Here is a 16,747-nt window from a genome sequence, read left to right on the forward strand (position 1 = left end):
GCTCCTATTTTGCAAACAAAGATTATATGCTGCATAATGTTAAAATATAACTGCTTTCCTATTTGATAAAGCATAATTATTAACTACTTTGAAGATTTGGTAAGAAGTCATGTGAAATATGGAAGATATTTTTAAGAATACTCTTCAAAATAAACCATTCTCTGTAAAACAAATGTACCTATTAAAATGTGTATATACATTATTGCAAGTTGTGCACATCTTTATATTTATTTATTTATTTAAGACAGAGTCTTGCTCTGTCTCTCAGGCTGGAGTGCTGTGGCACGATCTCTGCTCAGTGCAACCTCAGCCTCCTGGGTTCAAGTGATTCTTCTGCCTCAGCCTTTCAAGTAGCTGGGATTACAGGCACCCAGCACTACACCCAGCTAATTTTTGTATTTTTAGGACAGATGGTGTTTTACCATGTTGGCCAGGCTGGTCTCAAACTCCTGACCTCAAGTGATCCACCCTCGTTGGCCTCCCAAAGTGCTGGGATTACAGGCATGAGCCATCACACCTGTCCTGTGTACATCTTTAAAAGCACGTGACGGTTATAAACTTTAACTTCTAGCACCTAGGTAAGTCCTACCAAATATTTTCACCAAAGTTTAATTTTAAAAGCAGATGAGTCCATCTAAATACATCTCAAAATAAATATTAATTTCTTCTTTATCCTTTTTGTTTTTAAAGCAAATGTGCTTAGAGTACAGTGATCCACTGTTTCATCCATTGTTCTAGCCCACTGATGGTTTTAGGTTCATGTTAAAGCAAACTCTTCTGTTTCTGCTGAGTTTTTTCACTAAGATTTTTTTTTCCTACATGCACATAATCAAAATAATTGCCACCTCTTTTCTTCATAGCAGAAAAACATTTGTCTCTTTACCTGAAATCCTTGTTTCCGCTGGTACTTTCTCCTTTGCTGCATATCAGCAAAAGTAGCTGCTCCAGTTGGGTAGGTGTAGGCCATATGTGGTAGGAAGCTCATCTGATCCAGTCCTGGGTATGGTCGTAGCCCAGGAATACTGGTCTGGACTGGTGGCATGAAAGTAGCAGGGGGAAATGCGCTTTGAGGTGGAAGAGCTGTGTATAAAGGTTTGGCACTAAATGGGTTCATGCTGAACACTGGGTTAGTGCTTTTGTTGTCCAGATTATTTGAATTTGAAAATTCCTTCTTGATAAAAGTCAAGTTCAGAGGCTCATCTGAGTTTTCAGATGAGGAAGAAACACTGTTATGATCTAAACTGATGCTACTAGCTTTTGTTTTGTTCTTTGTGGCTATAATACTTTTGGGTTCTTTCATTTGTTTTGGTAATGACAAGTCTAAAGGCTCAGCCTGGAGCTCCTCAGAAGAGAAGCTGTTTGGAGTGTATGAACTACTGTGGGAGTTTTTAGAAGATGTGGAGGAAAGATTTAAGGGAGAAGGAGTATTACTCCTGGAGTGGTCCAATTTTTCAACTGGTTTAATATTGGTAAAATGGGAAGGTTTTGTTAGCCTGAGAGGAGGATCACAATTCGTAACACTGTTGTGGAGTTCTGCTATAGATGGTGATGTTATGGAGTCCATAGGTTTTACAGGAGACCTGGGTAATAAAGAGTCTTTTGTGGGAGGGTTACTGTTGGGAGCTAACGGCTTGGAGCTTCTTTCCAGGGATGGGGACCTGGAATTTGAGTACTGGTAGACTTTTCGTTGTTCAAACCATTCCTTCACAAATTCCTGAGGAAGGCCCACAGCAATGGAAATTTTCAGCAGTTCATCGGAGTTGGGCTCCATGTTCATAGCATAGTATGCTTTGAGTACAGACATGTGGTCCTTGTATGGGTTGATGGGGCTTGTCATTCCTTTCTCAGAAAGTACAGATGACAAGAGGAGGGCTTTATTATCAACAAAAACTCCGGCTTTGTTGGGGACTATGTTTTCATGAGGCTGCAGGACCGCCTTGATCTCTTCATTCATCTTACAAAGGTAACGTTCATGCTGATGCAAAGGGATGGGGCCAGGAAAACTTTCTTTACAGAACTGGCATGAAAATGGAGTGGATATGTTGTGGTTCTCAATCATTTTGTCATCAGTGACCAAATCTATTAAAGTACGTAGCTTCTCTTTCTTTATATTACTGATCTGTCTCCTTGAGTCAGTAGTCAAGCTCTGGAGGCAAGCTTTGGCTTCATTGACTTTTTCCAACGTATAGTCAATAATACTTTTAGTGGCACCATTATGACTCACTACCGGAAGACCGACAGGCGGAATATTAGGAGAAGTAACTCCTTGTTCCTCAGGTTGAGAGCATGGATCCTTCATGTGATAACCTTTCAACTTTGAAATTTCTTCAGCCTTGCAGTCCATTTTTTGCCTGGAAACAGTATTGTCCACAATCTGTAGAACCTTTTGTACCTCACTTAAATTACTATTCATGGTGGGAAACCCAAGTAAAGGGGCTTCCATCCCTACACCTAAGTGCTGCATTGGACTCTGAGCAGATGGATGAACTCCTAAAGGGCTGGTGGCTCCAAGCCCACCATTCATAAAGGGACTAGTGCCACTAAACCCGTGTGTAGCCATAAGAACTTTATAGTCATTGAAGTCTAGTGGTTCTGTTTTAATTTTAAGTAAGCCTGTCTGTTCAGACATACTAAGTGGTTTTCCATTCTCCAACTTGTTTCTTAACTGGGTAATGGCTGAATTAGTAGGAGAAGAAGAAACAGAATTAGGGGAAGAACCCGTCTTGATATTGTTTCTCATTCGGCCATTTACAGAGATTAAACCAATACATTTCTTGCTGCTGATGTGCGAACTGTAGGAACCAGAATGGGAGAAACGTTTCTTGCAGTTTGGGCACTCGTAAGGTTTTTCACCTAAAATGATAATTAAAATTACCGTTACATTTCCTTGATTAGATAACAATTGCAATTGTCTACCAAGAGAAGAATCTGTGAAACCAAACAAAAGGAACACAATGGGGTACCTCTACATTCTAGGTACTTAGATTAGAATTATGTGACCATAACCATTTCTGAACTTTATCTGCCCTGGGAGGACATAATTCAAGATGTTCACAGTGGAAGGTAAGGGCTATCTATGCCTTTTTCAGCTGAGATCCCAAATCTTGTCTGCCATCGGCAGCCTCCTATTTAAACAGAGTGTCAGACTAATGTGTGGTCAATAGCACAATAAAGATGTCACAGTATTTAAAGGCAAGTGTAGCCATGGCTTTAATAAACTTTGTGGAGATTCCATTGATTCTACCAATCCAACTAGTCCTTTGAATAGCATCCAACTTGGTAATAAAATGCTTGGCAGAGCTATCAAACTAGTTATAAAGAGGAAATCTCAGTGGTAGGATTCTGTTCTGTGATCCACGGCCCTCAGGAATCAGGGAGTATTTATCATACATAGCTCTTATCCAAAATTCTTCACCCTTTTTTTCATGGGTAGGTCTCAAAAATTAATATCTTTCAGAATTTGCCAGTTGAGTTTCCTCAGGTCAGAAATATTTATTCTGGAGAAGCGGTTTTAAAAGGACAAAAAGGAGCCTCTAGATTTTGTAATAAATCAAAGCATTTGTAATTTTTAAGACATGTAAGCATTCTGCTTCTTTTTATAAGACAGTGCTACTGGTTGTACCATAAGTCTCATGAACACAAATCAGGCACACAGAGTTGATGAAATAAATAGATAGTTCCAAAAAGCTACAAATAGGACTGTGTAAATTTTAAACAATCTTTTAAAACTCCCCTAATTAAGTAAAATGCAAATGCGAGCTCCAGCACCTCTGCTACTCACCACTGTGAATTCGCAGGTGTTCTTTCAGATGGTGTTTATATTTGAAGGCCTTGCCACACTCTGTGCATTTGAACTTGCGATTACCTGCTCCTTGGGTTAGCATTTGGTGCTATAAAAGGAGAAAGACTGACATCAGTTTTGTGCAGGAGGAACAAAGAAAATTTGTTACAAATATTTTTAAAAGGCCTCTGTTTTTCAGACAGGCCAAAAGGTTTGAGTGCATGCTTATTTATCTGCTCAGTCTTTCAGAGTTGCAATAAAAGTGATAATGTTGGTAATAAAATTGGAACAAATAAAAAAAAGTGCTTTCACATGCGCATCCAACACTTGCTTTAGAATTATTTCTGTAGTGTCTTTTCCAAAATGTTTCTTTGAACCTTTGGGGACGAGGAAGTATAACTGTAAAGATATTTGTTGTTTTTCGTGTTTACCACAAATTCTAAAATATGAACATTCTCTGCTAGAATGTGACAATTCTGTCAAGAAAAAAATATTTTCCTGAAAATTCTGAATAGTCTCAAGAAAAACCACCCCCACACAACAAAAGTTATCAATTTTTTTGTATCAGCATAAAAGTATATCTTATACTGAAGCAATCTAAAATTTAAAAAAGAAAAAAAACCCAATCCCAAACCAAAAACACACAAACAAAAAAACCTTGACTATAAATATTTCATTACATGATGAGCATGTTTAAATATCCTATTCATTGTGCTAGTAGCAAATATAAGCCCAGTTTTTCCTGAGGTGTCGCCTATCAGATTTGATTCATTATCAAACGTAAGAGACAACATCTTGGGTTATAGCTGCTTGAGCAGTTTTATCACAGGCCAGTAGGAAAGACTTCAACGACTTTTCATTTTCCTTTTTAGTAGTGTGCTAGGGAGTAGGGACAAAAAAGGAAAAAAAGTTTCCTGAAAAGACAAGTTAAAAGCAGCAAAGATATAATCAAACACAGCTGACCTTTTTGAACAAGGGGAAAAAAGCAGTGTGACTTAGAATTCTGGAAAAAAAATGCAGTCATCCACTCTGGATGCTCAAGGTAGGAGGTCAGCCTTTTTCTAGCAGCAATGACACAAAAGCCTTTTGCAAAAAGACAGCACAGAAACGGTATGACAACTGCTAGGGTGTGCTGAATCTTCCCACATTCCTAGTGAGACAGATGGTGTTACATGGGACACAGGGAGGTTTGTTCAAACAGCAGCAACCTTCAAAGATCAAGCAGAGCCCAGCCCGCCGAGCGCCATTGAGGGACCAGCGCTCATATGTTGCTGAGTTGCATAAACAAACAGCAACAGCTGCTTTGTCTCCCCCCACAGCCCTCAGAGGACTACTATAAACTTTAGTTGTGCCACTGTTAATATGATACAATCATTTTAATTTACTAATTGTAAATGCCATGAGCAAATGAGGGGACTTTTCAACACCAAAGCTACCATTCATAATGCGCCAACACAATCACACTTCTGCATGTGAAATTTAAAGCGGTTATGCTAGATAAATATCTAGGCACTTTTTTTTTCCTTGAGTTTTTGTGCATATAAGCAAGGGGAGATAAACTGTTACATAAGTGCAACTATGCAAGCATATTTTTTATAACTCATCTTTGAAAAGCATTCAGGTGACAAGCCCAATCAGATATAAATGGAATAATTTACATGAGCTGTTCTCCTAAAATAGTAAAATTCCATAATCTAGTCTTATCACCATTATTGACTGTGTTTGCTTATCCTCATTTTCCTTATTCGAAGAAAATGAAGGTTATAAGGAAAACCTAAGAATTTTGAATACAATATCATGTTCAATAATTTTAAAAACAGACATGGTGTCAAGACTTAAATTAAGTGATTCCGGATCTGTAGGGCCAGTTATTGTGACTTAAGGCACACCACTTCTGTCCATGCAAACATATCATAATATCAATTTGCAGAGTCAATCCTCCCAGTGGGAAAGAGGAGTTTTGATGTAACATTTAAGGAACACTGTGAATCAATCCTATTCAGTTGTTTTAAAGATTTAAGAAGCTATACTTAACTGTTGAAGACAGAGTTTTTATTTTTGAGACAAGTAAGCAAAAAGAGGGGGAGTAATTTTAACATTTAGCTACAAATATGTATATTAAGGGATCATTTTTAATGTACATCCAACGTTTTAGTACTAATCCAATTTATTTTATATATTATATATACACAGATAATATATGCCTTTTTGATTTTCCTTAAAACACTTAATCAGATTTCATAAACTAGTAGCAGCTTATAAAAATACTCTAAGTAATTGAAGGTGTTATATGAAAAATGAAAGAAATACACACTTCTTTTTCTATGACTTAGATCCTATATGAAAAGAAAATTTCTAAGTAAAGCGAGGTGAAAAATGGAATTAAAATTGCTGAGATGTTTAATAATGTATAATTAAAATGCTACAATTTCATTCACTTTTTGTGGAACATAAAAATGAAACTAAAGTCAAGTTAAAGTGCAAATAAAATTTCTAAATTAGAAATTAACACACTCATTCGATCGTGAACATAAGACTATTAAATCATATTAGAAGAGACCATCAAAAAATCATTTAGACCTCAATTAAAGCTATTACCATTAAAAGATCTGCATCTTCAAAATGCCATGAAAAATTAATAATGATTGCCAATCAAAGCAATATCGTTTCTCTAAGGGGTTATTATAGAAAGAAATCACTTAAAACCATCCCCCCACCTGATCTGTCCCTGGCTTGTGTGTCACCATATGCCGCTCGAGCTGGGTGCGGTAGGCAAACGTGTAGCTACAGAGAGGGCAGGAAAAGTTCTCTTCATTCTTCTCGTGGCGGTACTTGATGTGCTCCTTCAGTGATGTCAAGCGCTTGTAGCCCCGGTCGCAGTAGGGGCAGGTCAGCAGTTGGGCAAAAGCATCTGGAGTTCCAGGTGGCAGGTCTGTAGCCGAGAGACAGAGAGAGAGAGAAGCGGGCCAAAAGGTCAGTAAATCAATGGCAGCTAATGGGCTGACTGCCCGGGATGGTATGACAGGAATCACTGCAATCTGCTCCACAGAGTGCCATCATTGCACCCGGCCCCCTCGCACACCAGTCCCCTCGCATGCCCAGGACAGACTTGTCGGAATCAGCTCACACTGTGCTCAAAAATTAATTAATTACTTCAGGTTTTTTTTTTTTGGGGGGGTGGGGGGGACTTAAACAGCTGATAAATGAGGAAATTCTCTTTAGGTGACTGACAGTTCCTATGAAACCTGTAGCCACAGATTACTCAGGAACTCACAGTGTGAAGGGGCGTTTCAGGTGTCGGTGGAGAAGAACAAAAGGTGAGGGAGTGTCGGTCTCAACTTTTTTTTCCTCAAAAGTAAAATATTTCAGAAAGATAGGAATACATTTAGATATTTTTATCTCTTAGAAATGGGCTCTAATTGTTCTTGTTCTTTATTGGATGTACAAATGACACAAATTTGCTGACAAAAAAATTTCACAATACCCTAAAATTACAGTTCTAATCTTTGCTCATGAAATTCCATGCCTCTGCAGCTGTTCTTCAAATTTTAAGGTAAACACCCAGGCATGTAGTGCATTTGTAATTGTAACAGCTGCAGAGGTCAGTGCAGTGGCTAAAAATGATTTACAGCCTCACCATTTTCTTCTTGCCCATTGGCCTCTGGCGTGCCAAGGCGAGACAGCTCCTCAGGGGCTTCTGGGTAAATAATGGCTGTGTCACTGCGCTGAAGGTACTCCTCGATGCTGACTGCATGACCATCGCGTTCCTCCAGTTTTCTTTTGGCAAAGTATTCCTCAAAATCTGATGTGCAATTTGCATTCTTCACTGAAATCATAAAAGGAGAAGAAATGTTGTTTCCGGGCCTTCTTCCTAGGATCCCAAGTCCATCTCCATCATAGCCAGTGAGAAATGCTGACTTGCAATAGACTACAAAACCTAGTTTATTTGTAAGAAGTGTTGAAGATGACCGATTATTGACTGAATGCTTATTCTTGCAATATATGCAAGAAGGCGGGCACTTTCCTTCAAGTTAAATAAGCACATTTTATTTTATTTTTTCTTCCTGGAATATTAGTCTGTATATACAAAGAATGAAAGAAATTTAAAATGTTTTTCATAAATTTTTTTTAAAAAGCCAACAACTGCATTCTAAGATCCATAAACATTAAAGATAATATAAGATTAAGCCTATTTTAATAGTCTATCTGAAATTTCATTTTCTTCTAAGAAAGGTATATTTAATTTTTCATTGTCCACTAGACTGAGCGTCCCTAACCACAGATACATCCTGTTGCTAAATATAAGTTTTTAACCCTCCACCCTCTGAATGTCACAGACAGCCAGGACTACATAGTCTGAGACAGATGCAAAAGGAAAGATATTCCTAGACAGATAATAATGCAACTTTGTTAAAAAAAAAAAAGCACCAGAATGTGGCATTTTATCTTTCCCTATAATTTTAATCTTTAGTTCCGTATTTTAAAGCTGCTGAAAATAAAATTAAGCTCACAGCTGATAGAAATAAAATAAAAAGTAACAGAGGGAGTTAAGAAACTGGTGTGTGATTTTGATGTGACTTTAACTTTTGTAATTATGACTCTATTCCTGTGAAATGAATAACAGTTGTAACTCAATTTTAGCAACTTGTGTCATAAGATTTTGTATATTTGAAACCTCTAGATGTGTTTCTGAAATAAGATGTGGCTTAGCTATCATAAATAATATTTTTATGCTAACAAAGTTGGGAGAGTAGCTGTTATATTATTCTTTATCCTAAGTAGGTGAAAAAAGTGCTTTGCTGGTACAATTAATGGTGGAATCCTATTATCATAGTTTTTGAAAGCAGTTAACCTTGGTGCCACGAGATTCTTCACCTTGTCTTCTCTACCATAAACAATATTATAGTATTTGACATACTAATTCTCTTTGGCAACTGTGGCAGGGTGATGCGCAAGCAAGCTAGGCAATTTTTTTTTTTTGCTTTCATGATTATGAACTTGGATTTTTTATGAGGGGAATAGAAAGTGGAACTATCCATTAATTCAACAAGTATTTTCTGAATGCCTAGTGTGTGATAGGCATCATGTCCTGCTCTGGTGAGCAGAAAACAGTTCTAGGCTCATCCTTCGGGAAGCCATGAGAGAGATTAATACAACTGATATTATCTCCAAAGTAAACACATCATTACAAACTCAGATAAGTATTATGAAAGAAAGTTATATGGTGGTATAAAAAAAGTAACACAGGAACCTGATGGCAGCTAGAAGATCAGGAAGGTCTTAACTGAAGAAGCATGAAGTTAACTAAATGTAGAAGCTGGAGAAGAGCAGCATGTGCAATGTGGTGACTGAAACAAGCATGGGACATCTCAGGATGTTAAAAAAAAAGGACAGTGCTGGAGTGCAGAGGATGAAAGGGGAACCACGTGATGTAAGGGTGGAGAGTAAGGCGGGAGCCAGGCCATGCAGCAGGTAAGAGCTTGTTTAAGGATTTGGGTTTTTACTCTAAAAGAAGCAGGAAGCTATTGAAGAGTATTAAGCAAGGAGGATGGCTGGATGAAACTATGATTATTTGCATTTTTAGATGACATCCTTGGCTATAGTATGATAGGGATTGGAGAAAGAGAAAAGTAGGTCCTGGGAATCCGGTTAGGAGGTTCCTGTCCTAGGCCAGGCAAAAGATACTGTTAAGGAATTGATGATGGAGATGAAGGAAGTGTCTGGATTTGAGAAATACCTAAGATCCAAAATTCCTCAGATTCATCTGGGAAAGAATTCAGTTTGTCAAGTTGGGAGATGCTAAGGTACCTCCCTCAGGTTTATACTTTCCAAATTTGATGGATGGTAGGTGACATTCATCAAAGCAAAGAACACTAGAATTCTAAAAAGACTTGAAACTATAAACAAATATATGGGACCAAATAAAAGGAAGTGGGAGAATTACACTATGTGGACCACTAAACTAAGCGCCAGTAATCCTGAATGCTGTGATCTCAAACCTTTCTTTTTTGCCTCTGTAACTTCTAATAAGGTTAACAAGAACAACGGTCTATTCCAAGACCGTATTTCCCTCAAAAATAGATTTGGAATGTACAGTAGTGGATTAAGATTTTATACCTTGAAATTTTGCTTAAATCTGTTATTAGCTGGACTTAATAAAGAATATGGGCTTTAGATAAGATCACTTTCCCCTTGCTGTATGCACAATGTCATGGATGCTTTCCAATGGATACTTATTGGTGGTGACTGTGATGATGTCATTTCACTTGCATCACTGAGCCCCTATGGAGTATGTAGAAACTGTCAACTTGCATAAAGTATTTGCTCATTGTTTTGGATCATCAAAATAACATCAGATCTATCAAAAAATCACCTTTTACTTTTGATGGGAAGAAAGGATAAAAGGGGCAAAATGGCAGAGCCATGATGAATGTCTTTTGAGTAACTTCACTGATTTTATCAGTGACTGACTTCTTTTTCAGTACTATGACAGCACAAAGTAACGTAATAGCTCCTTTCTGAATTCGTATCTACTTGAGGGTTGTCAATGGTTTATGTTAAGGGTTAAGACATGGTTTAAGTTTTTTGAGAATATTGTCCTACTTGATGACCTTAGTGTAACCTAGTAAACATAGATGGATGTACATTTAATATCCTAATTTTATCTTGATATTTCAGCAACTATTTGAATGATCTGGCTATCTTTGCATGAATTTTCATTTGCATATGAATGTTTCCATCAGAAATGTAATCATATGCAAATTCAATTGGATTTGCATTAATAGCCTTTTGGCTTAAAAGGGAGGAAAATTCTGATTTTTCTGGATAGGCAAACAAAACTGCATCTAGATACACTACTGTTGTTTGGAGAGGTAATTCAATTGCTAGATCAAATTTGGCTATGCTAGATTTCTATGTCAAGTGTGATGGGGACAAAATACATCAAATCATGCGCTCTCTTTAAGGATTCATCTTTGATCATCTTTGTATCCTGGGCATTGAATATATTGCCTAGAAATTAGTAGGCTCTCAAGAATCATTTATGGGATGAATGTGGAATAAATTATGTCCTTAACACTAATCTTGGTGTAGAGGTCTTTTGGTAAAAGGAAGCATAAAATAAGATACCTGCAGCTGAGCTAGGAACTTAGACCTAATACTCAGGCAACTGTAGAATAATTATTTGATAAACTGTGTAGTAGTGGTCATAAATACTTGAAAGAGTTTGATAGGGCTCAGATAAGTATTCAAAAAGGGTTTCATGAAGATGTCACTCAATCATTTAAATCCATTTGCTCCATCTGGATATTTCTTCATGCTGTATAGATATTCTGTTGTTTATATATCTCACATACCTAGGGTCACTTAAGTGGGCTAGAGTTAAACCTCCCAGAAACTAGGTATCACCAGCATGAATCTAATGTAGTTTTTCCATGAGGTGCAATAGGTGCTAGTAATATACAGTTTTTCTGCCCAGTACTTCAACATTCACCTTGTCCTAGGAATGCTTCTCCATTTCCTGATTGCCAAGGCTTATGGTACCCAAGGAGCTGCTGTGTTACCATGTGATCCTGCTCCCCTAGCCACAATTGATCTCTGTTGCTCAGGTGAGCCAATCTCAGTCCTCTCTTCTCCAGGCCAACTTGTTGATTGGTCCAGGGTAGCCAATAGATCCAATTAAATTCAATAAATCCCTTCCCTATGATTTTAGGACTTTGTTCCAGAAAAAGCATCAAGGCAGTTTTTTTTTTCTGCCAAGTGACTGTAGCTATAAAATGTGGAATGAAGGAATTGTTATTTTCCATCTAGAAAAAGAAGATTTATGAAGAGAGAATAAAGCAGACATACAGAGAAAAGCAGACAAGATTGCATGTTCTGACAGTTCATTTCTAGCTCTTCTCGTTCCTGAGGCCGAGGTGCACCTTGCAGTGGTTCGGTTGACCACCTTCCTTAAATTCCGTGAGCCAAGAAACTTCCTTTTCTGCTTGAAGGTATGTTGTGTTTCAGTCTCTTAAAACTAAAATCACCCTAACAGTTACAATACTAGGACAAATGATGGGATTCAATTTTGGTTACTCTCAGAATTGTTGGGAAGAATGAAGTTTTGATTGTATCTGAAAGTTTGTATGTTTGTTTTTAGAAAGATTATGCAATAATGTGTACTGGACACAGGAATGAGGTACAAAAGTAGCTGAAAGGTTGTAGAATTCTTCACTGCATTTTTCTAGTGTAAAATCAACCTCATTTTCCTTCTTTCTGTAATCCTCTTCACTCCCTGGTCTCTTTGGAAGAACTGCCAAAACACACTGACAAAGGATATTTGCATGGTATTTATGATCAAACCATAACAAAAATTCACAAGAAGGCTCAAGTAATTTCTTCCCATACCTTCTCCAGAGATTTTGCATTTAGTCCTAAAATTTACCCTAATGTCTTGCAAATATCTCTCAATCTTCTCTAAGGTTAGATAACCTTTTCTCTATCCAAAAAAAGAATATCTAGCTTGGGCAACAAATCTCGTCTCTATAGAAAGTAAAAGAATTAGCCTGGCATGGTGGTGCGTGCCTGTGGTCCCTGCTACTGGGGAGGCAGAGGTAGCAGAAACGCTTGAGCTTGGGAGGTTGAGGCTGCAGAGAGCTGTGATCGCACCACTGCATTCCAGCCTGAGTGACAAAGTGAGACCCCTGTCTCAAAAAAACCAAAAAAAAGTTGTTGTTTTTTTTTTTTTTTTGAGACAGAGTCTTGCTCTGTCGCCCAGGCTAAAGTGCAGTAGTGCAATCTCGGCTCACTGCCAGCTCCGTCTCCCAGGTTCACACTATTCTCCTGCCTCGGCCTCCTGTGTAGCTGGGACTACAGGTGCCTGCCACCACGCCCGGCTAATTTTTCGTATTTTTAGTAGAGACAGGGTTTCACCGTTAGCCAGGATGGTCTCGATCTCCTGACCTCGTGATCCACCCACCTCGGCCTCCCAAAGTGCTGGGATTACAGGCGTGAGCCACCGCGCCCAGCCATAAAAAAGAATGTTAATTAAAAATGTTTCCTCATGACCATGTGTATTTTAATACTGTTAGATTGTTAGGGTGAATTTTCAGGTCCCTTTTTGTCAGGAAAGCCTCAGTTCTCTTGGCAATATGTTGGCCACTCTTACTAATGTTGCTTATTAATGACACTTTTATAGATATCTTTATGGCTGCGTTAGATAGATAATTGATTTTTCAGACAGATAATAATAAATATCAACATAGACTGGCCTTAAAAATTATTGCCTAAAATTCAAGCGATGTTAACAGAACTCTAAATAAAAGAGAAATATTGGTCCCCAAATTAGTCAGCCCCCATAATCAAGTTGCTTTAGAATACTTTCTCAAAGATACTTAAAAGTGGGCTTTGCTTAGTGTTTACAGGTAATGAAATATAGACCAGATACTTATTCTTTATCATTTTCTGTTTCCCTTTGGCATTCATTTTCTTTATTTGTAGCAAGCCTGTGTTCACAGTGGAAGACAGGTACTCTATTATCACTGGTTTAGTGTCCTGCATGCTTTTAATTTTCATAAAAAATGGAAGAAAATTGAATATTATGTTAAGCCATTTAAGTAAACATCAAAATGAATAAATAATTCTTTTTAAAAAGAAAATATCTTGGAAGGTACAGAGGAGTTGCAGCAAGTATATGTAAAAAACTGAGTAGAATCATCCATCCATCCCCTTGTTTAATAACTGTTTATTGAGTGCCTACTAGTGCCAGTGTTCTTGGAAATGAGGACATGAGTGGTAAATTTTTTTCCTACTTCTGTGATTCACCCGTTTGGAGATATATACACATAATGGTTGTGATTCTGCAATATACAGACATGTCTATATATATATATATATATATATATATATATATATATATATATGTATAATAGGGCATCTCATATATACACACACACACACACACACACACACGCTTCCCCAGTGTAATGTAATGTATATAACATAAATTATGTATTTATCATATAATCTGGCTTTTGCTTACTTCACTATGAAAGGCAAAGGGACCTGAAGAAGCAATTACAAATCTAGGTAACTGTATTTATCATCTTTTTGAAAAACAGCCTTTTTGTTAACATCTCAGATGATAAGAAAACACGAAAATTATTTTGAATGTAGTCATTTGTATTGAGTTTTTTAGTTTAAGGAAGCACATATTCAGCATTTGTTGAGGTCTATAGATTCTCATGGCTACTTTGTTTAAAGTTGACTAATTAATAAATGTAAGCTTTTCATCATTAAAAGTGCATGTATGCGTTTTTGCAGAAGGTTTCCAAAAGACATATTGGCACTAGTTACCTAAAAACAACCGTGAGGGAAGAGGATGATCTTTTTCTCATTACACAGCTACATGGGCGGCCTCGCAGAGCCTCCAGCTGGTACAGAGGCATGGATAAAGCCAGGTCGTCAAGAGCAACAGAAAAGTTTTCTGCTCTTCCTGGGAATTAGTACAGCATCTTGGCCGCTCTCTCCACCCCTGCTCTGAACATGGCTTTCTCCAGGGAACACATGTTCAGATGCCAATGAGAGTTTCTCATGTAAGAGAGCTTCAGGAGAGCGAGGTGAAGAGTGGACAAGGAATGGGAATCTGTAGTAGTCTGCAGTATCAAATATCTCCCTAAACAGCAGGAGATCTTACATTAGGGGATTTTGAATATCAAGATGTAGAGACTGCTAACACTCAACGATTTTGATTGCTGTGTATTGGCACAGAATGATAGAGTCCATTACTTTTTTAAAAATTCCCAAGATAGGCCGGGCACGGTGGCTTACGCCTGTAATCCCAGCACTTTGGGAGGCCGAGGTGGGCGGATCACCTGAGGTCAGGAGTTCAAGACCAGCCTGACCAACATGGAGAAACACCATCTCTACTAAAAATACAAAATTAGCCGGGTGTGGTGGCACATGCCTATAATCCCAGCTACTAGGGAGGCTGAGGCAGGAGAATCACTTGAACCTGGGAGGCGGAGGTTGCGGTGAGCCGAGATCGTGCCACTGCACTCCAGCCTGGGCAACAAGAGTGAAACTCCATCTCACACACACAAAGAAAAATTCCCAATATAGACAATATGCACTTGTCTTTCACATTACTGTGTAACCTAAAAATTTGGAATTGGCATATTACCAAAAAGATAGACTAGTTTATTATAATTTAGAGGAGTTGATGAAGTAAGGTGATTTTGCCCAGCAATTCAATGCTCTTTTCTTATGCTTTATGTAGAGACACGTGAAACCTAAGAATGCTCAGGACAGTCAGTGATTTTCAAAAGTCAGTGGCATCCGTATCATCTGGGAGCTTGCTTGAAATGCAAATTATTGGGGCCCATCCAAACCTATGGAACCAGCAATCTGTGTTTTAACAAGTCTTTCACGAAATTCTGACCCTTGTCCAATTTAAGAACTCTACAAATTCAATCCTCTGCCTCGCATGGCTAAATGAGACATTCATAACATGATTTTGGAGAGAAGCACAATTGGTCCCATATTATTATTATTAGGTAGCTTTCCTGACTATCTCAGCCTGAGTTCACATAGACTTCCTTCTTCACTTACTGAATGTCATCTGTGTGTCTCAATCATTGAATTGATCACATCCCATCGTAATCTTTCTCTTACGTGTCTGTGAGCTGATAAAAGAATGAACCATATGTTATTCAGCTTTGTGTCACCAGCACCTAGCATAGTGCCTGGGTCACAGTTATTATGCAATAATTGAATGATTAGGCAAGGTTCAGGGTCCTTGGACTCCTCATTTTGGCTCAGTTATTTCATGTTTTTGAATTTCAATTTCCTCATCTGTAAAATGAGCCAGGGTGTGCTTTCTGGGGTGTCCTCAAAGTTCCAGAATTCCATAATTTCAATTAATTAATTACTTTAATCAGTTTGCTTTTTCTTTACTGGCTAGGCCTAGAGAATTTTATCTGTATTCTTTTCAATTAAAAACTCAAAACAACACAGCTTTCTGATGGGGAAAACAAACATGCAGATTAAGAGAAAATATTTTGGAAGTGCCTGGAAACCCCAGACAACATCACAAGCAAAACAGCGCTTATTAAATATTTGTTGAATGAATGAAGGAGGCACTCAAGAAGCTTGAAATATCAGTTATTTCTTGTGGGAACACTTGCTGTGAAGTGAAGATAGCTGCTCCTAATCGCAAACAAAGCTAATAAAACAACAGCATTCATTAGCCAGGAAGTGAACAGGCTCTTCTTGGCGTTCACTGATTATAGTCTGAAAATCATCCCCCGTCTCACCTGCCAAGCACTACTTCTATTTTTCTCTCCTCCAAACCTATCTCTTTCTCCACCTTATTTTTAAAAACTCAATGTATGAAGTTAACTAAGAAATTAAAAAATAATGACTTCCCTGACAGATGTCTGACTGGCAGACAAAACTCTTCCAACCTATAAAAATGTGATAGATACAACCAAGAAGAATATGACATACTTTGTAATAGTATGATTCCCTCCTTGTTAAGTATTTAGGTACTAACTGAATTATCTGATAAACTGATTTTGTACAATTGATTAACATTATATATCCACTCAACTCTTGCAGAGAAATACGTTATAATCAAACTTGTATCGCTTCTGTTACTGATATAAGAAAGCTAACTAATTTAAAAGTTTTAATTTAAGCTCCATGTTAAGAGGAACAGGAGAAATTGAGAGTTATTAAACCAAGAGGATAGTGAAAGTAAAAAAAGTTCTTCTTTCCCCCACTTTCCCCTATGCTAACGATGCGATGCACAGAATTGATGGTTAAAGAGACTTAATTGCTGGCTAGGCTGCCAACCTTATACTAATATTATCAGTTTAGGGGAGTTACACCTGGCACCACTGTATTTCTTGCTGAGGCAAGATTTTCAGTCTAGATCTGGATCTTTACTTGGGGTTCAATTGCTCTGGAGACACCCAAAGAAGGATC

General features: G+C 37.8%; 1 protein-coding gene across 2 annotated transcripts in view, besides 1 other annotated feature; it reads right to left on the minus strand.

Annotated features, from left to right (window-relative positions):
• The window catches only part of ZEB2 (zinc finger E-box binding homeobox 2), a 136,039-nt gene that overhangs the window by 13,337 nt on the left and 105,955 nt on the right, over positions 1 to 16,747 (minus strand). For both annotated transcript variants that reach the window (NM_001171653.2, NM_014795.4), the window contains 4 exons: positions 7,419 to 7,607; positions 6,499 to 6,713; positions 3,782 to 3,890; positions 884 to 2,853 (listed from right to left, as the gene is read on the minus strand). In NM_001171653.2, the coding sequence (NP_001165124.1) occupies positions 884 to 2,853; positions 3,782 to 3,890; positions 6,499 to 6,713; positions 7,419 to 7,607 (2,483 nt within the window). The remainder of the gene's footprint in view (positions 1 to 883; positions 2,854 to 3,781; positions 3,891 to 6,498; positions 6,714 to 7,418; positions 7,608 to 16,747) is intronic.
• Positions 7,079 to 7,516: an enhancer, noted in NCBI's record as "ENSG00000169554_2:144878533-144878970 (NCBI36/hg18 genome assembly) insert fragment". NCBI's record gives its function as "drives selective reporter gene expression in differentiated C2C12 myotubes {active_cell/tissue: C2C12}" and the evidence as "EXISTENCE:reporter gene assay evidence [ECO:0000049][PMID:22144875]".

This window comes from Homo sapiens, chromosome 2 (genome assembly GCF_000001405.40).
Source record: "Homo sapiens chromosome 2, GRCh38.p14 Primary Assembly".
Classification (NCBI taxonomy): domain Eukaryota; kingdom Metazoa; phylum Chordata; class Mammalia; order Primates; family Hominidae; genus Homo; species Homo sapiens.